At 36.1% G+C, this 26,534-nt stretch overlaps 1 protein-coding gene across 12 annotated transcripts in view; it reads left to right on the top strand.

Annotated features, from left to right (window-relative positions):
- Positions 1–26,534, top strand: part of PDCD10 (programmed cell death 10) — a 51,595-nt gene that overhangs the window by 4,071 nt on the left and 20,990 nt on the right. For 6 of the 12 annotated variants that reach the window (NM_145859.2, XM_011512368.4, XM_011512369.4 and 3 more), the window contains 3 exons: positions 5,349–5,421; positions 10,549–10,760; positions 25,927–25,980. In NM_145859.2, coding sequence (NP_665858.1) covers positions 10,665–10,760; positions 25,927–25,980 — 150 coding nt within the window. In that variant the 5' untranslated portion in view covers positions 5,349–5,421; positions 10,549–10,664. The remainder of the gene's footprint in view (positions 1–5,348; positions 5,422–10,548; positions 10,761–25,926; positions 25,981–26,534) is intronic. The other 6 variants (NM_145860.2, NM_001439202.1, XM_005247087.6 and 3 more) reach the window with 1 other exon arrangement.

Below are 26,534 nucleotides of genomic sequence, written 5' to 3'. Positions count from 1 at the left end.
ATAGCTGGAGACTTAAGCATAAAAAGATTATTTTTAAAACATACAAACTGAATTTTAGGGATAAATTGTGTTAGGTTTTGGTCTTGGAAACAAGTTCTGCAGTCATTTGTAGTACCACGGTATGGCATAGAGTAAGGTCAACAGCCCTGAGTTTCTGTAGCCTTGTATGCCTTCATGGATTTACCAGTTTACTCTTCCACAAGATCTTGTCAAAAAGAGATTGCTGATAATTTGGCTTTAAAATTTGGTAATACTATCCATTTTATTATTAAAAACAAGTCTTTGCTAAATCCTAAACTTACTTTTTAAAAAGTCAGTGTTGATGTTACTTGAATCTTGGATAAAATTTTCATATTTACCTAGCATAACCAGTATGTGGAGGATAAAACTGAAATACTGCTTTTTATATGTTGTTGGATAATTAATATCATTATGATAGGTGTTACTAAGAATTTTAAGCCACTTACATGATAAGTAATTTTTTCCATAATATAAACTGTAAAAGTGATTTAGAAGTTAAATGTCATTGTTATCTATGTTATTGCATTTGAAATATTATAGTAAGCTGCAGTGTTAGAGGGTTATGCTTTAGGGACACACACACACACACAATGCAAAAAATGAAAGCACATTTATTATAGCAATTAGAAATAATTTATGTGCTGAAAGATAAACACTGTGGTTTGATGGTTCATTTTTGTCTGTATGAAGATGGTAATTTCAATTTTGTCATTTAAGCTACAAAATTTAAATGTGTCTTAAGTGTATTATATTACACTTATTTTTCAAGCTCACCCTTACATTTTTGGTTATGTATAACCATTTTTAAAATCACCCAAAAGTGATTTTCTGCTGTTCAGTTTCATTCTTATACAGTTGATAGAATCCAGGTTGCCTATAGGGTTAAAAGAAAAAGAAAAGAATTTTATTAACAAGCTTATGAACTATTGGGTAACAGCAGTGGAACATGTTAAGTGGTAGTCACTAACATATACTTAGGCTGGTCCCTTGGGAATAAGTTTACCAGAGGTTAGTCTAAATAATGACTTTTTGATTCATTTACTTATTGAATGCATATTACTTGTGAAATTGCCTTAAACCTTCTTTGGAATGAACTGGAACCTAATATAATAGCTAGCATTTATTGAGTATTAAGTAACTAAGTGCCAAGTCTCATGCTAATAAGCATTTTACAGGATCTCTTATAATCCTTACGACAACCCTTCGAGGTAGAGGCACTATTATCTCCAGTTTTTAAATGAGGAAACTAAAGTACAGAGAGGTTAAGGAACTTGCCTACGGTTGCAGGAAAAATTGCTTGGAATTAGGATTTGAATCCAGGCTGGCTGACTCAAGAGACCATGTTTTTCATCATTATAGTAAAAATGATGTTAGTGATTGAACTGCATTGGAGAGAGAAATTAGCATTAAGAGTTGTAGTTACAGAGCAGTTATGTCTTAAATGCTAAGGTCAGTGTGGCAGGCAGAAATTACTTAATATTCAAACTTTTTAAAAAACCTATTAGGAAATACACGTTGTAGACTAACAACTTCAACACAGCCAGTTTTTTTCTAGCATTGGAGTAGATTTCTTTTGAGTACCAGGTGAAGTGTTTGACTTGTTATGCAGAGACCATATTGAAAAAAGAAATATGTATATTATAATACAAGAGTCACAATCAGTGTGGCAAGCTACTCTTTGTGAGAGCTCACTGTGGCTCTCAGTCTGGTGTGGGGAGTGGCAGATCCACGTTTCTTATCTGTCTCATTCTGGGACTTTTGCATAGGGAATGGAATTATCACATACTGCAGTAGTTATTTTTAGTGAAGTTATTTTTTTGTTTGTTTTCTTCAAACAAATGTTCACCATGTCTGTTGAACTTGCATAGGGTAGGAGTATCATGTGAAGCAGGTACGCTCCCTGGAGTGTTAATGCCAAGTGGCAGTGTGACATGTCACTGTATTTCTTTACTGTCTCTCTTCCCTGCCAAGACTACATACCTTCAAGGGTATGTGCTGTTTGACTTTTCATCACCATATCTCCAACTAACACTGTTGCTGACTTAGACTGACTATGCAGAATACTGTGTTGGATACTAGGAAATAGAGAAATGGATACAACTTCTCTTTAGGGAGTTTATACTTCAGTAGATACAAGGGGAAAGGGTTGAAAGACCATTGTATGGACATTTAGTCTTTCTAATATACTAAGTACTTCCATGTGCATCAGTTCATTTTACAATTTTAGGTTAGAGCTGATAGAAAAATAAATGATTGTTTCTCTAACTGCCATCTGGTCCCTGGCACTGAAATGGGTCTCCCTGTCTTATTCAGTCATTCTCTCTTACTTCAAGATAGACTGGAATTCAACTGAGATTGAAGTTATGGAATGACAAAACCCTAAGATGTTACACACCGGCTGCCTCCTCAGACTTATATAAGGTTACTACAACAGAAGCCAGTTGGGAATGTTAAATGAGTCAGACCTGGCCTCTAGACAGCAACTGCACCCTATACGAGTTTAGATTGTTGCTAGGCTTTTTTTCATTTAATTCCAAAGCATTTGGAATCCTTTTTTTTTTTTTATTGAGAACTGCACATCTTTCTCTATGTCTTTATCCATATTAAAATCGGTATTTATGCAGTACTGTCAAAATTTGAGAGATTTCCAAGGTTCTACCTTATTTTTGGTATGCTCCCTTAAAAAATAAATCACACTTTTGCGAAGTGAAGGTTACAGGAGGAACAGTAGATGCAGTAAAAACAGATACTATCCTAGCCCTAATTTCTTCTTGTAAGAAATAGTATTTGTATTTGAGATCAATTGGGAGCTAAAGGTAAAGTTAAATGTCATCATCAAGATAGAACCTTGGCCTCATTAGCACCTAATGTTAAATAAGGCAGAGGCTATTTATTGTCTGGGGCTAATAGTTTCTGTCAACATTTGAGTGCCCTGTGGCAGTGTTTTTGGTGCAAAGAAATTGTGTAAAGTAATGAAAGTACCTGTTGCATGTTTTAGAGGATCTTAAGCCATTAGGAGTCATTAAGTTAAATTCTAGGTATCTAAGATTATAAGTGATACAAAGCAAGTAGCTCTGATCCAGGGTGGTACAGATTCTTTTAATTGTACCTTTAAGCAGAGAGGACCTAACACTCTGAGGAATTAAGTTTAGTTGAATTTCTAAGGGATTTTAAAGGAAAGCTTTAATTAACATCGTATTGGAGAAACTAAGACAAGGAATAATACTAATAAAAAGGAAAATAGACATGTACCTCAATTAAACACCAAACAACTATTCAACTAGGCATTATTCATGAACCATTAGGTTGAGAACTTTATGGGCAAAAGATGAACATATTCAAGGGGACAGATTTGTTTCCTGTCTTCCAACAAGTGTTTTCATTTAAATTTTACTCAGATCAGAATTTACCAAAAATTTAGACATAGGAAAAAAAAATGAGGATTGTCACAACTAAAGAGATGTATGTTTTTCCCCCTGAACAAGTTGCTTTGAAATATCGTAGGAGCCAATTGTTACTATTTTGTTACTGTTTCCATTTCCCATCAGCTAATTCTGAGGTAATGAGCTCTTTAATTTTGTTGTCAACTTTTGATTATCTTGTACAGATTATAAACCTTTTATGAATTATCTCAAGGGCTTTGATCACATCTTGATTTCAGTGTGCAACCCAGCCTGCTACCCAGCCTGCTTCTGGGCCATGGTTTCCTTTGTTAAGTTTATCTATGTACATTTAGAAAAGTAATTTTAACATTGGTTTGGCAAAAAGTTTTAAAATGCACCTGATGGCCAAATTCTTTTATGTAAGCCAAAACTAAGTGTATTTATGCATCCATTTTGGCAAATGGGAGATAAAAGGTTTTGAAAATATGCTATGTAGGTGGCCTTTATGACATTGTGATATCAGTGTTTGACTCTCATTGTGTATGTTATGCAGGGGCAGGACTAGGGTGAGGCAAGAGATATGCCTAGGGTACAAACTTTGAAGAAGCACTAACTCTCTCAGTCATGCAAATCAGAGCAAAATTTTGTGTTCTAGGCATCTGGTTTGCCTCACCCTAGTTGCAATCGATTCCATGTCAGGTTCCTAGAATTTTGGCTAAAATATTAATAACAATATGAATAGAATGGTTATTATGTGTTAGCCACTGTAGTAACTATTTTATATGCAGTTAGTACTCTTAATCTGGGGAAGTGAGTACTTCAGTATTTCTGTTTCTCACTAGTTTAGAAATAGAGATTTACAAAACTGAAATGATAGCATCCAGCTGAGCAAAAATTCAAACTGAGGTTTTTTTCCTTCCAAACTGAGCACTATCTCCTGCTGTATACTGTCTATCTATGTGTAGAAAAAGTTACTTCTTACCCATTTTATAAATTTCTGTATTAAGAAACAGTACTCTGGCCAGGCACAGTGGCTCACGCCTGTAATCCCAGCACTTTGGGAGGCTGAGGCGGGTGGATCACCTGAGGTCAGGAGTTTGAAACCAAACTGACCAACATGGTGAAACCCCCATCTCTACTAAAAATACAAAATAGCCAGGCGTGGTGGCAGGTGCCTATAATCCCAGTACTCGAGAGGCTGAGGAAGGGGAATCGCTTGAACCTGGGTGGAGGTACGCCACTGCACCCCAGCCTGGGTGACAGAGTGAAACTCTGTCTCAAAAAAAAAAAAAAAAAAAAAAAACAGTACTCTACAAAATATGTAAGTGCATACACTTGACATGGTGCAGTTAACTTTTAAGATGAGCTGGAAGTCTCAGCAGCACCAAGTTGAAGATCCACAAGCTTGTGCTGCTAAGTACCCTAGAGTTGTCAGACATATTAAAGAAGAAACCAAAGGATAGAGAGGTGAAATGACTTGTTCAGAGACAAAGATAGTTTATGAATGACAGGACCAGAATTTGAGCCCATGCTTTGAGACTTTAAATGCTTATGCTTTTTCCCTGTATCTTTCTGCACAAATTGTCCATTTAATATTTTTAAAGCATATATATATATATATATATATATATATATATATATATATATATATATAAACGATACAATGGTAAAGTGCTATATACACTTACCATTAACAAGAGATTGCTTCTAGATGTCCCTAAGTGTAAAATTCTGTAAGTACTAAACTGACAGTAGTGTATGTTCAGGGAGGTTAGGTTCCACTTAACTTTATTAAGAAAACTGGAAATGGAAGACATTGAATTATAGAAGATGTAATTTGCAAGTCAAGGAGAGAGATGTAGGTATATCCTTAAGACATCAAGCTCATTTTACTCTAAGTAGGATCACTGACTTACCCTATTCCTCTGCCTCCCTTTTTCCTAGCTTTCTCCTCTAAATCTTGGTCTCTTGTTTGGAAGTGACTAACAGCATTTTGGCATGAGAAAGCCCTAAAAAGGTACGTAAACTGTGTCAGCAAATGTTAACCCCACCCCGCTTTGTTAAATGGCCAGACTACCATCTATACAGTCTTTGTAAAAATCCATTTTCTCTAAGAGTTTGATGAGTGATTTTTTTTTTTTTTTTTTTTTTTTTCTTTTTTGAGACAGAGTCTCGCTCTGTTGCCCAGGCTGGAGTGCAGTGGCACGATCTCGACTCACTGCAACTTCCGCCTTCCAGGTCCAAGCAATTCCCTTGCCTCAGCCTCCTGAGTAGCTGGGACTACAGAAGCCCACCACCGCATCTGGCTAGTTTATGTATTTTTAGTAGAGATGGGGTTTCACCATATTAGCCAGGCTGGTCTTGAACTCCTGACCTCAAGTGATCCACCTGCCTTGGCCTCCCAAAGTGCTGGGATTACAGGCATGAGCCACCGTGCCCAGCTGATGAGTATGATTCTCTGTGTTATATTATTGAGAGAAAGCAAGGAATTGTCAGTTAATTGAAATCCTGGGTTAACCAACTCTTGGGGAGGACCTCCTTAATTAGAATTTGTAAATAATTTTTAATGATTTGATGCTTAAAGAAAAATTTGTCTTAAAGAAATTCCTATTAGATTACTTTGGAAAGTATAGCTGATAACAATAATGAAGTCTTATTATCACTGAATTTTGGTTCCAGTGATAATGTGGCTGGGTCCAGGCTTTGTTAATAGAATTAATTTGATTTTTGTGTTTGTTTTTATTTTGCTAGGCATGCTATTTGAAAAGTATATTAGCAAGACTGATTCAATTTATAAATTGCCCATCTCAACTCATGAATTTGGTCATTCAGCAAACATTAAGTGTCTGTTATGTGCCCGCTATGCTGACTGTAATGTCTCTATTGGGAAGAAGAAACACACTTATAAATGGGAACATAAACACAGGATTCTGCTCACTGCTAGAATGAACACACTTCTCTTAACTGAATGTTCATGCACATTTGTTGGAGATCCAGCATACATCAGTCAGTCAATCAATCTTTCCCTTTTTAGAGAGAGAAATTATAGGAATTATAAGAATTTAGGGCCAAGAGGGCTGAGTACTGGATTTTACTAGAGAGAAAAGCAAGACAAAAAGACCTGCCTGCCTACAAACGTTTTAAGTGTAGAATTACTTAAAAAGCTGTTTTTCTAACTGAGAAGTGCCTATACCAGTACCAAGAGCTTCTGTTGTTCCTCTCCTTTCATTTGATAGTAAATAGCTTTGGCTCTAGACTTATCTCAAGTCCCAGATGGAGTAAAGTAAGGCAGTTTCAGGAAATACTGATTCTGAGCCCTGAGATATACCCATGTGTGGCTCTTTAAATGAGCAGACTCGAGTTGGTTAGGGAGGGCAGAAACACCAAAGATTTAAGAGTTTGGCAGCGGAGTGGCGAATACCTGTTTTTGGGCTTCTTACTCTAAGCAAGTGATAATTATCTTCAGCTCAGGAAGATATTTAAAGCTGATTATCTTCTGTTAAAAATTAGCAGTGCTATTTTGAATATTCAAGAAAATGAGGGGTAAATTATAAGTGAGAAGATTGCTTATACTCTGTGTTGATATCCCAATATCACAATGGGTGTTTTTGAAGAAAAGTGTGTTTAAAAGTATGCCTTTTGTCTAGGTTCTTTCAACATTTCTTGTTCTTGGTTTTTATTTTGTGGATGCCAACAGTACACAAAGCTTACTTTGAACTGAAGATTTCCCTGCAAAGCAGCACATTTGAAACGTGAGACGTAAAGTTCTTGCTATGTTGTTATCATACCAACATTACATTTTTATTATGTATTTAATTATTAGCTAGATGTTGTGACCAGGAGCAAGTCACTACATCCTTTTTGTACTTCGGTTTCTGCTGTAGGTAGTGAAATGGGTGAAATAACTTTTTAAGGCCATTTCAGATGTGGGATTTGTAGTCAGTGATCTTCAGTTTTCTGTATGTGCATAATCAGCACCTACTCCAGAAAATAGTGTACCTTAGAGGGTTGAAATTTTGTTAATGTGCTACCCAGCTGCCGGGACTTGGTCACACTCATCCTAAAAGGAAGGCACCTTGTCAAAGGGGGCCTCAGACCTCACTCAGCTCAGCCAACCCTTGCTGTTTCCATAGCAGGCTCTTTGTTGCATGGGGTAATTGCAGGTTGTCCCTTGAACTATTTCAAATGAAGAAGCATGCGGAAGGAATGACAAAGGCATATTTTAACTCGAAGTTGAAATTGACAGTAATTCAATATTTTAAAAGCCGTATTGGAATTGTTGATTTCTAATCTCATGTAAATGCTACTGAAACTGAGTGGCCCCAGTTGTTAATGTGTGTTCTAAAAAGTTCAGTTTTAAATTGGTTCTTTGGAGCATTTTTCATAAGAACAGTATTAAAAGATGGCATGTATGCCATAGGCCAGCCACTTATGTAGCCCATGATGTTGCCAAAATACTGTTCTTTTTGTTGACAAATAAGTACTGTAAAGTTAGTTTTAGAGAAGAGACTATTTATTAAACATGAGTTTTAAAAATATTAAATGCCAGTATTTACAAAAGGTAAAAATTAAGTATTTGAGTAGGTTTATAGGGGGTAGGTAGGTAGAGATGTCAGCAGTAATTCTGAAAGTGACTCTGGCCACTTACCTTATCCCTTTACCTCTGGCAGCCTGTACATCTGCAGTTATATGCGTATGTGTTCAAAAGAGTGAAACACAAGAGTAATTCCATTGTGCTTACTTTTCTCATAAGTATTTCACCTCCTTTATACCGAGATTCTTGAAAACTTACCAGCTCACTCTCTTAGCCCCTGCAGGGATTTCTCACCCCAGTATATAAGTACTCCGCTCTTTGAAGGTTACCGCTTTAACCTCATCAAGAAATCAAATAATTTTTTAAAAGTTACTTTCCATACTCAGTAGCACTTAAAACTTTTGGCTACCTTCTTCTTGAAACTTGTTTCGTGATGCTGGTTTTCTCCAGTTCTCCTGTAGCGATATAGCAGCCTGACTTCTCCCTTTTGTGCGCACCACAGTTGTATGTTTTCTGACTTTCCTTTTATAAAACACGTTTAATGGGGTCAGAGACTGTCTTGTCTTGTTCACTGCTCTATATTTAATACCGTGCCTCTTTGTGACCATTGAAATATTTATTAAATAAATAATTTTTTTTCTGTCACACAATGAGAGCTCTTCAAGGTCTGTTCTTGGTTTTGTTTTGCCATTTCTTACTTGATTTTTCATTGATGATACCATGCCTTCTGCTGCTGTCTATATTCTGCATTCATTCTGTCCTTTTCATTTTAACTGATACCACTGCCTTTTAGCCATCCTCCTTTTCCCCAGGTTTTTTTTATTATGAAGTTTTCCCAATTTATTTTGAAGTGGAAAAGCAGATTACCAAGTGACTTAAGTAGCTAAATAGGAACAGCAGGGCCACAATTGGTATTTATCTACTTCTTTTTGCTTATTATTTTGGTCTTGTTTATTTCTGACATAGGTATACTGAGTCTGTTAAGTTTTCCTTGTCGTTATTCTTCCTCCATTCTCTCCATCATGCTGTGACCAAAGCCATCTACTTAACTAAGTTACATAATCAGGTAATGGTATTCTTTTTCCCCATAGAATGAAATTCAGGAATTCGCCTTTTGCTCTTTTTGTTCTGTCAAGTCATGGAGTAGGTTTCAGGTGAGAAACAGGAAAACTCTTTGATGTTTAGAACTGTCAGAAATGGGACTAAACAGTTTCCGTAGGTGTTGAGTTCCCTTTCACTGGTAGCGATATGGTGGAATACTAAGCAGCTTTCCAATGGAACAGGTTATTGGAGCTTTTTGAAGCGTCACTGCAGGCCTTTGATTGTATCTTTCAGTCTTGTTAGGTCTTACACATTCTGGCACAGATAAATTTTTAATGATTAGGAACTGCACTTCATACCTAGCAGTGTTAAACATACTCTGAACATGTTGAGTGAATAATAAATTCTGGGTACTTTTCTTGAGTAGATGAGGTGGGGTTCTTTATTTCCACTTCAAATTTGGTTTTGTTATGTGAGAGTATAAGATCTGTATTCAGAGTCCTGGGATCAAGTCTTGGGTCTCTACCTGTGTGATCTTGGGCAAGTTATTTATTATCTCTGAGCCTGCTTTACACTTGTAAAATTAGAATTGCAGTTTTTTAAAGCAAGTTATTATAGGACTAAATGCATGTGCAAAATGTTTTATACTATGAAAATGCTTTACAAGTAGTAGAAATTAATCAAAAAATGGCTTTTTGTTTAATATATGTATGTCACTACTGTTATTCACTTCATGATTAGGATCATTTTTTTAAACCATAGTAAAGGAAATATATAGTTGTATTCTCTTTAAAAACTAACATATTTCCTTAACACCTCAAGGCAAAATTTCTTTTATTGTTGAATTCTTGATTTTAATCCAAACTACCAGCCTCTGGGTTTTTCTTCTTTCTCACTTTTTATGTCAGATTTGGACAACAATTTCTGTAGTTCTTCTAAATACCAGAAGGTATCACTGGCACAATTAAGTAGCAAGTATTTTACCAAGTGGATCACATTTGGTAGAATTTTTTTCAATTTTATGTTTGACATATTTGGTGCTTGTTATGTTTGTGTTATTTTCAGGTGACAAAATCAATAAACAAGTAGCAAAAAGGTTTTAATAAAAATGTTAAAACACCCTAGTTCTTTCTTCTTTATTGATTCTTCGATTTGGTTTTCTGCACACACTTACACATCATGCATTTCCTGATTATAATTTTATATTATGTATAAATATTATAAGTATGTGTCTTATTCATATGTTCTCTTAGATTGTATATGGTGGCATGACATACATCATTATTCCATGGTGCTTCATAGAGAGCTCTCTGAGTTCAGGTTAAGCAGCGTCTTAAGTCACTGCTTTGTGAAGTAGTACCTAACCAAGGACTTTAGGAAAGGGCAGTTGTTGAGTCTTTGGAGGAAAAGGTAAGTTTCTTGCCAACTAGGTTTGCTTTCACAAGTAGAATATATTAAAAAATAGCTTTTCATAAAATAGGAACTCTGTAATTTGGAAAGGAAAATTATTGGTATTTGTCGTTTCTCCTTAATATAGTAAGTCTCTGTTCTTTCTTCCTCTTTCACCAGATCAGTGTGTTTTTTGTGTCCAATTCTTTTATCACCAAAAAAGAGAAGAAATATTGCAGTGAATGAAGATTCCTCTGCATTTTAGCACTGCTTTTTCAACTGTAGTTGGCTTTTGAATGAGGATGACAATGGAAGAGATGAAGAATGAAGCTGAGACCACATCCATGGTTTCTATGCCCCTCTATGCAGTCATGTATCCTGTGTTTAATGAGGTGAGTTGGGTAAACATGTTCTTGCATGAACTCTGCAATTCTTTAATTCCTGCTTTATTTATTCGTCTGCTTGTTCTTTTGTATAACAAATACTAGCATGAATGAACTCTTATCGGTGCGTTAGGCATTGTATCAGGGCAAAAAATAGTGAAAACAAAGCCAAGCAGATATGCCTCTTCCCTCTAGAGATTATGCTATAATGGGAAAGAGACATTTAATAAAAGAACACAAATAATTATATGAATGAACAATGGTGATGAAGTACTATGAAGTGTAAAAGCAGAGTATGTTAAGAAAGAAAATAGGTGGGACCTACTCTAGGGGTCAGGACAGGCCTCACTTAAGAAGAGACATATATCCTAAGACCTGAAAGAGATCTAAAAGAGATAAATAGAGTTAATTGAAGAGTTGGAGATAAGTCCATTCTAGGTAGCCAGAATAGCAGGCACAAAGATCTTAATTATATTGTCAGTGGTGACAAAACTTTTTAAACCGATATTTGGAAGATATCATTGCTTTGTATCTGGAGAAGATGTAGTTGCTTTTTAATTTGAAGAATTGTCTTAGACTTAATATTGATATATTTTGGGGTTTTCTTTTAAATTAATATTAACATGCTAAGGTATGTAGAGAATTCTGGAACTGAAATTTTCTTAGAGATTATTTAATTCCTTTTCTATAATGGGGAACTAAGGCCCTGATATGTGAAATTATTTTCCTAAAATTACCTATAACAAATCAAATCAAGATCTCCAGACTTCAAATTCAATGGCTTCAGCCTTTTAAAATTTTAATATTTTTTTGCTATTTTATTAATCTAATTTGCCTTTAGTACCATTAACCTTATTGTTACTGTTATAGTCCATATGCTCTCACCATTTCCAATGAATTTTCATCTCTCTTTGTAAAATACTTTCATTAAAGTAAGATTCTGCATTTCAAAACCATTTTTTTCCACATTATTGGATTTGATTACAGTTTTATTCTATAATCTTAAGTCTTAGGGGCAGTAGAGAGTGATCCATTTACACTCGTTGCCATGAAAGCCACAGATTTAGTTGCCAATGCAGTCAACATTTTAAATTTTCAAACACTATCTCTCAAGTAATGTTAGGTTTGACAACCATAGAAGAATGGACAAAATGGTGGCTTGGATAAAAATTTATTTCTCTGTCACATAAAAGATTCTGAAGGTAAGTGGTCCAGGGCTAGTATTGTTATGACTCAGTATGAGAAACTCAAGTTCTTATCTTCTGCTCTGTCATCCTAGTGTTTGGCTTCCATTATCAATCAAGGTCACCTCAGCATACAAGATAGCTGCTGAAGAGCCACCCATCACATCCTAAGTTGTTGCCTGGAAGGGGAAAAAGTGGGGCAGAGAGTGGGGTCCCGCATCTAGCTGAGTTTGCTTCCTTAAAGTAGCCTTTTTGAAAGGCCTACACAAGACTTCCACTTAATTTTTTTGTCAAGAACTTAATTCTAATGACGAAACCTAGCCACAAAGGGGTTGGAGAAATTCAGGAGTGTTATCAAGGAAGAAGCATCTTTTGAAAAACCTCCTGTTAAACTGCCACCATGGTAGCATTGGAGACACTTTTTAGGTCTGGTTATGTCCCTCTTTGGCAGCTGTAGCCAACACCAGTAATTAATTTCACCATTTTTTTTCTGATACTTACCCATTCATTTCAAGGAGCTACTGTTAGAAGCAAGTGGCTTCAGTTCTGTTTAGTAAATACTTACTGAATGCCACCCATTGGTTTGCTGAATACTTCTGTTAGGGTCTAGAGGTGTGAAAAAGGCTGCATGCATGTTCTTAAGAATCTATTCGGAAACACAGATATTTAAGCAAGTAAATTTTTAAATTATTCTTGCCCTAGAAATTTGATAAGGAGACAGATCCTATAAGCTAGTGAGTAACCTATCTTGGTAACAATTTAGTTTGACCTTCTCAGTTACTCCAGGAACCATTATCACAATTCCACCCAGAGACACTCTTTCTTTTCATGTCTATATTCTGAATTGATAAGTTATTGGGCAAAGTTGTTTGGAAGAATTTTCTTTATTTATCTGGTATTTTGAGCCCTTACTTGAATGGAGGGAAATTTACATTGCACATCTTCAGTTTAATCCTCTAGTGAATGAAGAGAAATTAGAAAAGGTTTTTGTTCTAACAATTTCAGTGGCCTTTTTCTTGCATAATTCTCAAATTGAATTTACTGATCAAACATTAACAGCATGGTGTCAAGCGTTTAAAAAAATTATTTCTGTCATGTATTCAAAGGCATGTTCAGAAGTATAGGGTTTTAGAAATAGGGATGGTACTTATTAGGGTTTCCTCTTTGATATGGAGATGAAATTTAGGGCTTGAATTGGGAGTGGAGTAAAATAATGTTCCTTCAAATATGAGGTGTTTGGTTAAAAAAGAATGAAATACTAGGATTATTATTTGGTGTTTTAGTTTGTTAACATAACATATAAATAAGATACCTAATCAATTAAACATTAGTGTTTATAGTTTACCTATGAAATTCTCTATATATCTAATAGGGAAATTATATTTTAGTTTGGCTTTTTCTGTGCTGTGCAGATTTAAAGGTGAAAGTGGTTGTCAAATTAATCTGCAAAATTGTACCATAGTAAGGATGACCGTTTTACTCTGAAGCTAAATGATTCACTAAATCTTGTCTACAGTGTATTGTAAGAGTTAAAATGATTATTCCTTCTCACCTTAACGTTAGATCCATGATAGCTACAATGGTAGTCTAGTAATCATCTTTTAAAGGATTTCTAGCTAGTAGGACATGTTTACACCTGAGGAAATTTTAGTACTGTTACTACAGCTTGCAAGCCAAAGTTATTTATGGCATTCTGGAAGTTCGATGTTTGCTAGACTTAATAAAGCTATGCCAGGACAGCTGAGAAGAAGTAGGCTTCTTGTTTAATCAGCTGCTGTGGAGTTCAGAGTCCAAGTTTATTGCATGTGTTGTAAATGTACTGTGAAATAGGTCCCCTGATTGCATTATGGAATAATGGATTTCTGGAAACCTAATTTCATGTCATATCAGGTTCTCACATAACTATTACTTTGTAGTGATTCTTTGTATATCGGGGAGGAGAGAATGGTGATTCAGTTCTTGATTCCAGGAAAAAATAAGGCTTGTGTTTTCTTTTCCTAAGACCATTTAGAGGAATTGTTTTCTCAAGCAATATATATTATGTTTTGAAAAATAAACAATTTTGCAACTAAATGTGAATTTTAGGTCACCAAAGGTTTATATGTTTGTTTACTAATAAATTACACAAAAGTATGCTTCTGTGTAAGTAATTAATATGTTTCCATTCAGAAGCATCTGAATCAGCTATTTCTGCGAATTATTAGCAGATATGGAACTCTTAATTTTTCCTAGTTAGCAAATGAAACCTGGAATACCTCTCCAACGTTACCTACCTACTTTTTTTTTAAGAAGATAAAATCTTATTTTTATTATTTTTAAATTTTTTTAAATTTTTGTGGGCACATAGTAGGTGTATGTATTTATGGAGTACGTGAGATACTTTGAAACAGGCATGCAATGCGTAATAATCACATCATGGTGAATGGGTTATCCATCCCCTCAAGTATTTATCCTTTATATAACAAACCATCCAGTTATACTCTTTTAGTTATTTTAAAATGTATAATTTAGTGTTGACTATTGTAACCCTGTTGTGCTATCAATAGTAGGTCTTATTCGTTATTCCTATGTTTTAGTACCTATTAACCATCCTCACTTCTTCTCCACCCCCACTATCCTCCTCAGCCTTTGGTAACCATCCATCTCTCTATCTCCATGAGTTCAATTATTTTATTTTCTAGCTTCCACAAGTAAATGAGAACTTTTGAAGTTTGTCTATCTGTAGCTGGCTTATTTCACTTGACATAATGACCTTGGTTCCAGCCATGTTGTTACAGATGACAGGATCTCATTCTTTTTATGGCCGAATAGTTCTCCATTGTGTATGTGTACCACATTTTATCTGTTCATCTGTTGATGGACACTTAGGTTGCTTCAAAATCTTGGCTGTTGTGAACAATGCTGCAGCAAACATGGAAGTGTAGAAATCTCTTCTACATACTGATTTTCCTTCTTTTGGCTATATACCCAGCATTGGGATTGCTGGTACCAGAGGATCATATGGTACCTCTGTTTTTAGTTTTTTGAGGAACCTCCAAACTGTTCTCCATAGTGGTTGTACTAATTTACATTCCAGCCAACACTATACCAGGGTTTTCCTTTCTCCATATCCTTACCAGCATTTGTTATTCCTTGTCTTTTGGTTAAAAGCCATTTTAATTGGGATGAGGTGATACCACATTGTAGTTTTGATTTTCATTTCTCTGATGGTCTATGATGTTGAGCACCTTTTCATATGCATGTTTGTCATTTGTATGTCTTCTTTTGAGGAATGTCTACTCAGATCTTTAGCCCATTTTAAAATTGCATTATTAGATTTTTTTTTCCTGTACAGTTGTTTGAGTTGTTTATAGATGGTGGTTATTAATCCCTTGTTAGAGTGACAGTTTGCAATTTTCTCCCATTCTGTGGGTTGTCTCTTCACTTTGCTGATTGTTTCCTTTGTCTGCAGAGCTTTTTAACTTGATGTGCTATTTGTCCATGTTTCCTTTGGTTGCCTGTGCATGTGGGGTATTATGTAAGAAATTTTTACCCACACTATTGTTCTGGAGAGTTTTGTGGATGTTTTCCTGTAGTAGTTTCATAGTTTGATGATTGAGTTTTAAATCTTTGATCCATTTTGATTTGATTTTTATATATGGCAAGAGATAGGGATCCACTTTCATTCTTCTACATAGGAATATCCGGTTTTCTGTGCACCATTTATTAAAGGGACTCTTTTCTCCAGTATATGTTCTTGGGACCTTTGTTGTTATTGAGTTCATTGTAGGCATATGCATTTGTTTCAGGGTTCTCTATTCTGTTCCATTGGTCTGGTTTTTTTTTTGCCAGTAGATGGCATTTTGGCTACTATAGCTCTATAGAATAGTTTGAAGTCAGGCAGTGTGACTCTTCCAGTTTCATTCTTTTTGGCTATTCTGGGTCTTTTGTGGTTCTGTATAAATCTTAGGATTGTTTTTTCTATTTCTGTGAAGAATGTCATTGGTGTTTTGCTAGGGATTACATTGAATCTGTAGATTGCTTTGAGTACTGTGGGCATTTTAACAATATTGATTCTTCCAATCCATTAACATAGAATATCTTTCCCTTTTTTGTGTCCAATTGCCTTCGTCAGTGTTTTATAGTTTTCATTGTAAAGGTCTTTTAGTTCCTTGGTTAACTTAATTCCTTGGTATTAAATTTTATTTGTGGCTACTGTAAATGGGATTACTTTTTTAAATGTTTTTTTCAGATTTTTCACTGTCGGCATATAGAAATGCTGCTGATTTTTATATGTTGATTTCATATTCTGCTACTTTACTTAATTTATCTGTTCTAATAGTTTCCTTGTGGAGTCTTTAGGTTTCTCCAAATATAAGATCATATCATCTACAAACAAGGATAATTTGACTTCTTCCCTTTCCAATTTGGATGCCTTTTATTTCTTTCTCTTGTATAGTTTGCTCTAGCTAGGACTTCCAGTACTGTGTTGAATAACGGTGACAGTGGGCATCCTTGTCGTTTACCACATCGTAGAGGAAAGGCTTTTTTGAGAGTTTTTATCATGAAGGATGTTGAATTGTATCATATGCTTTTTCAGCATCAGCTGAAATGATCATATGATGTTTGTCCTTCATTCTGTTGATAAGATGTATCACATTGATTGATTTGCATATATTGAACCATCCTTGCGTCCTGGGATAAATCTCCTTGGTTATTATGAATGATCTTTCTAATGTATTGTTGAATTTGGTTTGTTAGTATTTTGTTGAGGATTTATTTATCAGAGATTGGCCTGTAGTTTTCCTTTTTTGATGTGTCTTTGCCCAGATTTGGTATCAGGGTAATACTGGCTTTGTAAAATGAGTTTGGAAGTATTCCCGCCTCCTCTATTTTTCGGAATAGTTTGAGTAGGGTTGGTATTGGTTCTTCAAATGTTTGGCAGAATTCAGCAGTGAAGCCATTGAATCCTGGGCTTTTCTTTACTGGGTGATGTTTTTATTACAGCTTTGATTTTGTTACTGGTTATTGGCCTGTTCAGGTTATGGATTTCTTCCTGATTCAGTCTTGATAAGTGGTATATGTCTGGGAATTTATCCATTTCCTCTAGATTTTTCAATTTATTGCCATACTGTGGCTCATAGTAGCCACTAATGATCCTTTGAGTTTCTATGGTATCAGTTTGTAATGGCTACCTTTTCGTCTCTGATTTTATTTATTTGGGTCTTCTTTTTTTCTTAGTTGGTTTAAAGTTGTGTCAATTTTGCTTATCTTTTCAAAAAACCAAGTTTTTGTTTCATTGATATTTTGTATTTTCTTTGTTTCAATTTCATTTATCTCTGATCTTTATTATTTCTTTTCCTCTACTAATTTTGGGTTTGGTTTGCTCTTTTCTGGTTGTTTAAGATGTGTGTTATTTGAATTGTTTGTTCTCTTTTGATGTAGGCACTTAAAGCTATAAACTTCCTTAGTACTGCTTTCACTGTATCCCATAGGTTTTGGTATGTTGTGTTTCTGTTACTTGTTTCAAGAAATTTTTCATTTTCTTTCTTAAGTTTTTGATTTATCCACGGTTAATTCAGAAGCCTATTGTTTAATTTCCTTGTGTTTGTATAGTTTCAAAAATTTCTCTTGTTACTGGTTTCTAGTTTTATTTGATTGTGTTTAGAGAAGATGTTTGATACTAGTTGAATGTTTTAAGACTTGTATTGTGACCTAACATATGATCTGTCCTTGAGAATGATCCATGTGCTGGGGAAAAGAATGTGTATTCTACAGCTGTTCTATGGAATATTCTGTTTAGGTTCATTTGTCTATAGTGCAGATTTAGTCTGATGTTTCTTTGTTGATTTTCTGTCTGAAAGATCTGTCCAACACTGAAAGTTGGGTGGTGAAGTCTCCAGCTATTATTGTATTTTGCTCAGTCTCTCTATTTAGTTCTAATAATATTTGCCTTATATTTCTGGGTACACCAGGACTGGGTGCATATATATTTACAATTATCATATCCTCTTACTGAATTGACCCCTTTATCATTATATAATGACCTTGTCTCCTTATAATTTTTGTCTTGAAATCTGTTTTGTCTGATACAAATACAGCTGCTCCTACTCTTTTTTTGGTTTCCATTTGCATGGAATATCTTTTTTCGTCTCTTTATTTTGAGTTCAGATGTCTTTATAGGTGAAATGTGTTTCTCGTAGGCAACAGGTTGTTCTTGTTTTTTAATCCATTTGCCACTCTTTTTCTTTTGACTAGTTTAGTCCATTCACATTCAATGCTATTATTGATAAGTAAGGACTTACCTCTGCCATTTTGTTACTTGTTTTCTGGTTGTTTTGTGGTCTTCTCTTCCTTTTTTCCTTCCTTTCTGTCTTCCTTTTAGCAAAGGTGGTTTTCTCTGGTGGTATGTTTTAATTTTTTGCTTTTTATTTTTGGTGTATACATTGTTTTTTGTTTCGAGGTTATCATAAGGCTTGCAAACACTATCTTATTACCTATTATTTCAAACTGATGTCAGCTTATCACTGATTACATAAATAAGCAAAAAGAAAACTAATAAAATCTCTATACTTCATTACTGTCATTTTTTAGCTTTTGAAATAAACAAGCAAAAAGAAAACTAATAAAATCTCTATACTTCATCCCTCTCATTTTTTAACTTTTGTTGTTTCTCTTTACGTCTTATTGTACGGTTTGTCTTGAAAAGTTGTTATAGTTATTATTTTTGATTGATTCATCATTAGTCTTTCTACTTAAGAGTAGCTTGCACACCACAATTACAGTATTATAATATTCTGTGTGTTTCTGTGTATTTACTATTACCAGTGAGTTTTGTACTTTCAGAAGATTTTTTATTGCTCCTGAATGTCCTTTTCTTTCAGATCAAACTCCCTTTGTTATTTCTTCTAGGACAAGTCTAGTGTTGATGAAATCTTTCAGCTTTCATTTGTTTGGGAAGGTCTTTATTTCTCCTTCATGTTTGAAGGATATTTTTGTTGGATATTCTAGGATAAAAATTTCTTCCTTCAGCATTTTAAATATATCATACTACTCTCTCATGGCCTGTAAGGTTTCCACTGAAAAGTCTTCTGCTAGGCAAATTGGAGCTCCATCATATGTTATTTGTTTCTTTTCTCTTGCTGCTTTTAGGATCCTTTATGCTTGACCTTTGGGGGGTTGATTATTAAATGCCTCGACACAGTCTTCTTTGGATTAAATCTTCTTGGTGTTCTATAACCTTCTTGTACTTAGATGTTGATATCTTTCTCTAGGTTTGGGAAGTTCTCTGTTGTTATCACTTTGAATACACTTTCTACCCTTATCTCTTTTTCTACCTCCTCTTTAATGCCAGTAACTCTTAGGTTCACCATTTTGAGACTATTTTCTAGATCTTGTAGGAGTGTTTAATTCTTATTTTTACTTTTGTCTCCTCTGCATTTTCAATAGCCTGTCTTCAAGCTCACTAATTATTTCTTTCACTTGATGCATTCTGCTATTAAGAGGTTGATGCATTCTTCAGTATGCCAGTTGCATTTTTCAGTTCTAGAATTTCTGCTTGATTTTACAAAATAATTTCAGTCTCTTTGTTAAATTTGTCGGATAGGATTCTGAATTCTTTCTCTGTGTTATCTTGAATTTCATTGTGTTTCCTCAACACAGTCATTTTGAATTCTCTGTCTGAGAAGTCACATATCTGTGTTTCTGCAGGATTGGTCCCTGGTGCCTTATTTAGTTTGTTTGGTGAGGTCATGTTTTTCTGGATGGTCTTGATGCTTCTGGATGTTCGTTGGTGTCTGGTCATTGAAGAGTTAGGTATTTATTGTAGTTGTTGCAGTCTGGGCTTGTTTTTGCCCATCTTTCTTGGGAAGACTTTCTAAGTGTTCTGAGGGACTTGGGCCCCAAGCTCAATAATGCTGTGGTTCTTCCAGTCTCCTAGAGATACCACCGCCTTGGTGGTGTTGACTAAGATCTGGAAGAATTCTCTGGATTCCCAGGCAGAGGGTCTTGTTCTCTTTCCTTACTTTCTCCCAAACAAATGTAGTTTCTTTCTGTCTCTCTGTGCTGAACTTCCTGAAGCTGGGGGAGGGGTGACACCCCTGTTGCCACCACCTCTGGAATTGCACTGGGTCAGACCTAAAGCTAGCACAGCACTGGGTGTGACCCAAGGCCTGCTGTAAACACTACCTGGCTAAAGCCTGTGTTCACTCAAGGCCCTGTGGTTCTACAATCAGCAGGTAGTGAAGCCAGCCACATTTATGTCCTTCCCTTCAGTATGATAATTTCCCCAGGCCCCAGATGGTCTGGAGATGTGCTCTGGGGGCCAAGAATTAAGAGTCAAAAACCTTAGAAATCTACCTAGTGTTCTTTCCTACTGTGGCTAAGCTGGCACTGAAAGCACAAGACAAAGTTCTTCCCATTTTTCTCTCTCCTTTCTACAGGCAGAGGAGCCTCTCTCTGTGGTCACTGGCACATGGGGAGTTCTGCTAGGCCATGGTTGATGTTCACTTAAAACCCAAGGGCTCTTCAGTCAGCCTGTGGTGATTGCTGCCGAGCCTGAGCTTCACTCTTCAGGACAATGGGCTCCTCTCTGGGCCAGGACAGGTCTAGAAATGCTGTCCAAAAGCCTAGGCCTGGACTCGGGGACCCCAAGATCCAAAGTGGTACCTAAGATGTAAGACAAAATCCCTCTTATATTTCCTTTTGCTTTTTTCAAGCAGGAGTCTCTCACCATAGCCACCACAGTGAGCTGGGAATTTGCTGGGTTTCACCTGAAACCAGCATGTCTGAATCTCAACCAAGGCCTACAGTGTACTACCTGGGTATCGCTGTTGTTTATTCAGGGCCCGAGTGGTCTTTAGTCAGCAGGCGATGAATCCTGCCAGGATTGGATCCTTCCCTTCAGGGCAGTGAGCTCCATTTTGGCCCAGGGTGTGTCTAGAAATGTTGTCCAGGAGATAGGGCCTGGAATGGGGTCTCAGTACTCTGCCTGTTGCTTATCCTACTGTGACTGAGCTGGTATACAAGATAAAAGACACACTCCTGTTGCCTTTACTTGTTGCCTTCCTATCCTGAAGCAGAAGGAAGGAGTCTCTTATTCTGTGAGCTCTGCTGCCTGGGACTGGGGGAGGAGTGACACATCCATTCCCTTGGTCGCCCTGTCTGGTGGGTCTTTTGGTTGCATGCTGTCCTAGTCCACTGGCTCTAAGCACAACACTAAGACGTGTCCAGGAATTGCAGTCCTTGTGTCCTAGACTGCCTTTCAAGTTTATCTGAGACTCTAGAGCACTTTAGCCCTTGGTGGCAAGGCTTACTCAATTTCCAACCTCTTGGATCGGTGATTCTCCTCTGACCGTGTCACGTCCAAATGCTACCTTTTGTGGGTGGCTGCTAGCTGAACCCAGCACACTTTTGCTCTCCACCGTGATTGATCAGCACTAAGTTTAGTACAAAGTCTCCCAGTTGCTGTGCTCTCTCCACCCAAGTGCACATATTCTTTGTCCATGCCACACAGCTGCTATTGCGGGATGGGGGGAGGGGTGGCATCAGTGTTTCAAGATGGTCTTTTCCACTCTCTTTATTGCCTCTTTCAGCAATATGAAATTAAAACCAGGTACTATGATTGCTCACTTGATTTTTGGTTCTTTGGCAGTGCTTTTTTGTGTGTAGTTGGTAAAATTGGTATTCCTGCAGAGGGGACCATCAATGGAGGCTTTGATTCGGCCATCTTGCTTCGCCTCCCCTCTTAGTTTTTTTTTTTCATGTTAAGATAAAATAAACCAGACCTCAAACTTTGAGCATAGTAAACATTCTTCACAATGCAGGTAGGGATTTTATCTGCAATCCTACCATCAGGAAGTGATCATAATTAGCATTTTGGGTTTGAATTATTGCTCTTCTTCTTAGTAAGCTATTTAATCTTATCTGTTTCCTTATTTATAAAATGGGGATAAACAGTGGTGTACTTCACTATCTCAACAACTCTGTGAAATAAGTAAGTTGATGTATTGTAAAGTGTTTAAAATAGTACTAGTTGTATAGTAAGTGTTAGTTATTGTTAAGGAATCTTTCGCATATATTTCACAGTTTTGTATACTTGGAGGCAGTGTTTTAATGGAATATTTTTATAATAGGTGGTTCTGCTTACCTTTTTTGCCAGACAGCTTGGCAGCCCACAGAACTGATTCTTTTAGAAGCATGCGTTGAACTTCACATGGACAAATCTTTCTCTGTGACAGTTCAAAAACTAATAAGTGACTTCTTGATTCCATTACTTCTGTCTTTCTAGCAAGCTTGTTTACTTTTACCTGGCTCACCTCATTTTTATTTGAATTTCAGGAGATGTATTTGAAGTTTTTATTCTTGTAAGTTGGCCCAGTTTAGTTCTTTTTAAGAAATAAGATCAACAATCTGTTCACTGTGGGTAGGGAGAGGGGCGTGAACATGGAAAAATCAAATCTTGCCTGATTTTGAGGAAGCAAGTAGATTTGTACACAATTCAAAACCAGTTAATCTAATTATTTTGACCTTTAAAACAAACAACAACAACAACAAAACACACAGCTTTCACAAAAGTGTGAAAGCAGGAGTCTTTTAAAACTTGAGTAACCAAAGGGCTAAATGGCTTTTTTTTTTTTTTAATTATGGTTTTAGGAAACTTGATGCTGGAAAAGTGTAGAAGAAACTGATACTTTTGGAGAGAGCAAAACAACAAATGTCCTCTCCATGGAATCTGAATTATATGGAAGCTTTTAAAATATTTTTATAAGTGGACCAGAGTAAATTTGCCTGGTTTGTGGTTGATAGTAAGTGTAAGTGTTCTTAAAGGCTATCAACAATAAGTTACAGAAGGAGTTCACAAAACAGTAGGCAGAATGGGGGTTGAGGTAAGACCTCCTGTTAGGCTTACCCAGCCTATCCATTGTCTCCAAATGTGCTTCAGGAGGCACTTTTCCTTCTCTTTTAGGAGAGATGAAGTATGTTACAAACCTTTTCTCTCACTCTGATTCTCTTATTTTCTCTTACTCTTTTACTGGTTACATGGACATACTGTGTAACTGAGGCCCAAGCAGTGCTTCTCACTGTCGCAGTATCCATTAATGCAAGGTGCAGTCACAATTTCCTCCTTCAGGGGACCCAAAATACAGTGTATGCACTGTCAGTTACTACTAAGAAGTTTATTGTGTTTAATCTGTTTTTTTTGTTTTGTTTTGTTTTGTTTTGTTTTTGAGATGGAGAGTCTCGCTCTGTCGCCCAGGCTGGAGTGCAGTGGTGTGATCTCGGCTCACTGCAAGCTCTGCCTCCCAGGTTCACACCATTCTGCCTCAGCCTCCCGAGTAGCTGGGACTACAGGCACCTGCCACCACGCCCAGCTAATTTTTTTTTGTATTTTTAGTAGAGACTGGGTTTCACCTTGTTAGCCAGGATGGTCTCGATCTCCTGACTTTGTGATCCGCCTGCTTAGGCCTCCCAGAGTGCTGGGATTACAGACGTGAGCCACCGTGCCCAGCCTTACTGTGTTTATTCTTTAAAGTTACCCTAGCCAAAGACGTTATCCCTAAAGCTCGGAAAGTGCTGGACTCTAAAGAGACTGAAAACAAAGTGGAAATTTTCTTTCCTAAATTTACATGAAATCATTACATTCCATGTGTTACCAACCCTGAAGAAACTTCTAAGTGGGAGAACTCCCCAGGAGGATGATTTTAAGAGGCCGGAACACACTTTTTAAAGATCAGTTCAAATCCCATGTTTATAAAGACTTCTTTCTGCTTCAACTGATGGCAGTCACTCCACTTTTCATATAGCTGCTTCACGTTGTACATGTAGGAACTCAAGTACATGGTAGGAACTCAAGAATATGTCAGTCCTTAAAGAACCAGGTTGAAGATATTCAGTGACAGAGTGGACTCCAGTCTGGAAGAGTGAGTACAGGGAGTCAGGGTAGCATTAGTGGCTTGTATACAGGATTCAGAGTCAAACTGAGTTTCTTCCTTTGTAAAATGGAGAAGAAGATAACATATTTTGCTACCTAACTAGTACAGGCTGAAATTATAAATAGATTTAAGAACAGTTTAGATAAATTTATGGATAAGAGATTAAATTCAGTTCAAACAATGGATATATGCCTGGTACTGTCCTGGACACCATGAATATATCAATACCATATGAGGAAGAAAGGCTTTTGACTTTATTGTAAGGCCTATGGGTATATGCAGTCATGTGGCACATAACATTTCAGTCATTGGTAGATGGATGGCATATATGATGGTTGTCCCATAAGATTATAATTGAGCAGAAAAATTCCTCTCACCAAGTGATGTTAAAGCCATTGTTCATTGTAGCGCAACATTACCTCTTTTATGTTTACATACACAAATACATAGTGTTACAGTTGCCTATAGTAGTTCAGTAAACATCAGGTTTGTAGCCTAGACACAGTAGGCTGTATCATACAGCCTAGGTGTGTGGTAGGCTATCCCTGTAGGTTTATGTCAGTACACTCTGTGATGTCCACATAATGATGAAATCACCTAATGACATTTTTCTCAAAACATATCCATCCCCATCATTAAGCGATGCATGACTACAGTGTATCTCCAAGTGACTCCCAACAGAATTTTGGTGAAGTGCTTCTCAGCTCACAGATTTTTGATTTAGTATATGTCTGACCTTCCTGTGACTTATTCTTTTTGTAAGGTTCACGTAATTAAAATGAGTCTAGAAATCTAGAGATGCTGTTACCTATCTCAGATAATCTTGTTAGCTCTTCATGAACTTTCTGGGCACTTTTACTTGTCTGGATCCTTTCACATACCATTCAGGGCTATACAGAGTGAACTAATAACGCTGATACTTGAAGGCACACAGCTGACTCAGACCTTTTTAAAAGAGGTCAGAGTGTGGTGTAAACCTAAGTAAGGAAATGGGTTCCTATCAAAACAGAAACATTCATTCTTTATATCTGTCCCTGCCTTTCTTGAATAACAAGAACTTGAGATCTAATGAGCTATATTGTTATTTTAATCTTAGTAATAGTCACTATAATTATATTAATTACTTGGAAGTAGGAAACTTTTTTCATTTTTTGGAAACATATCTTTGTTAATTATGAACTACTTATATAGTTATTTCTTTCTACATTTGTTTACTGGGCTGTTTATGCCTTTTTTATCTACTGAGGCAATATTAGATTTTACAAGATTTGTTAGAAGTCATGTTAAATATTAAGCTAAATGGTTCATTGTTTTTTGGCAGATAAATTATCTTGTCAGATTCTGTTGCTTTTGCTTTGTGCTTAAAGTTAGTCATTTGTAGGGAGTTGCAAGGTTCTTGGCATTTGTAACTGTCTTGTTTAGAAAATAAATTGATTTAATGTGTTAGAGATCCCATACAGGAGATTTCTGAAGCAAAACTTACACTTTTGTTGCCTCAAGGGAAGACTTTATTGCATAATATGATATATGTTCATAAGGTTTGTGTAGAAATATTATACTTGGTAAAAATCTATATAGATTACATTGTTTCCAATTTAATATTGTCCCAAGTAAAAAATATATACAATTGAGTTTTATTGAGTTAACTAGCTCAATCCTTAAGGACTGAAAAAATCAGAATTTAACAGAAGCTAGGTTTTTTAAGCCTGGCAGTTAACTCTTTACAAATGGAATTATTTTTATGAAATTATGAAATTCTGTGCCTTTGGTTCACTGAAAACTGAATTAACATGTGTAGTAAGGATGTTAATCTTTTGAAATTATAAACCTCACATGTTTGATATAAAAATTAAAAGCATATGGGTTGCTTTTAATTTTTTTAATAAAAAATTAAGGACATATATTTTTTCATTGAAAATTTTGATAGCCTAATTGAAGAATTACGGTGATGTACAATTGTTAACAAGAATGTTGATTAAATGTTTAATGTGTTCATGTGATTGCTACAGAATGGAATCTCAGAAATGTGCTTTTTCCAAGAAAGTTGATATTCATAATAATTTAAAATTTTTATTGCAGCTAGAACGAGTAAATCTGTCTGCAGCCCAGACACTGAGAGCCGCTTTCATCAAGGTGAGGTGCAAATAATTTACTATGATTATTAAAGTGTATGTTCTTTGTAAATGTAAGTACATGTGATGGTTGCCAGTTTATTTTCTTTAAGGGAAAGCCTTTTTAGCCATCTTATGCCTGTTTTACTATATTCCATAAAGCTTAAAACACTTCCAAAAGATAAACTAGAACAAATGTTATTTCGTTAGCATTCATCTTTTCATCACTTTGTGCTTTTGAAACTGAGTTTTTCAGAGTGTTCTCTCCTTAGCTGTAGATTATATTTTTGAGGGTTTTTTTTTTTTTCTATTATTTGACCTTTTGAAAACTTATATGGCTGGGCGTGGTGACTCATACCTGTCATCCCAACACTTTGAGAGGCTGAGGTGGGAGGATCACTTGAGACCTGGAGCTCAAGACCAGCCTGGGCCGTATAGCAAGACCCTGTATCTACAGAAAATAAAAATATTAGCCAGGCATGGTGGTGCGTGCCTGTCATTCTTGCTACTCAGGAGGCTGAGGCAGGAGGATTGCTAGAGCCCAGGAGTTTGAGGTTACAGTGGGACGTGATCATG

Source organism: Homo sapiens, chromosome 3 (assembly GCF_000001405.40).
Source record: "Homo sapiens chromosome 3, GRCh38.p14 Primary Assembly".
NCBI classification, from domain to species: Eukaryota; Metazoa; Chordata; class Mammalia; order Primates; family Hominidae; genus Homo; species Homo sapiens.
The sequence above is the reverse complement of the archived record's forward strand: the minus strand, read 5'-3'. Positions and strand labels throughout refer to the sequence as shown.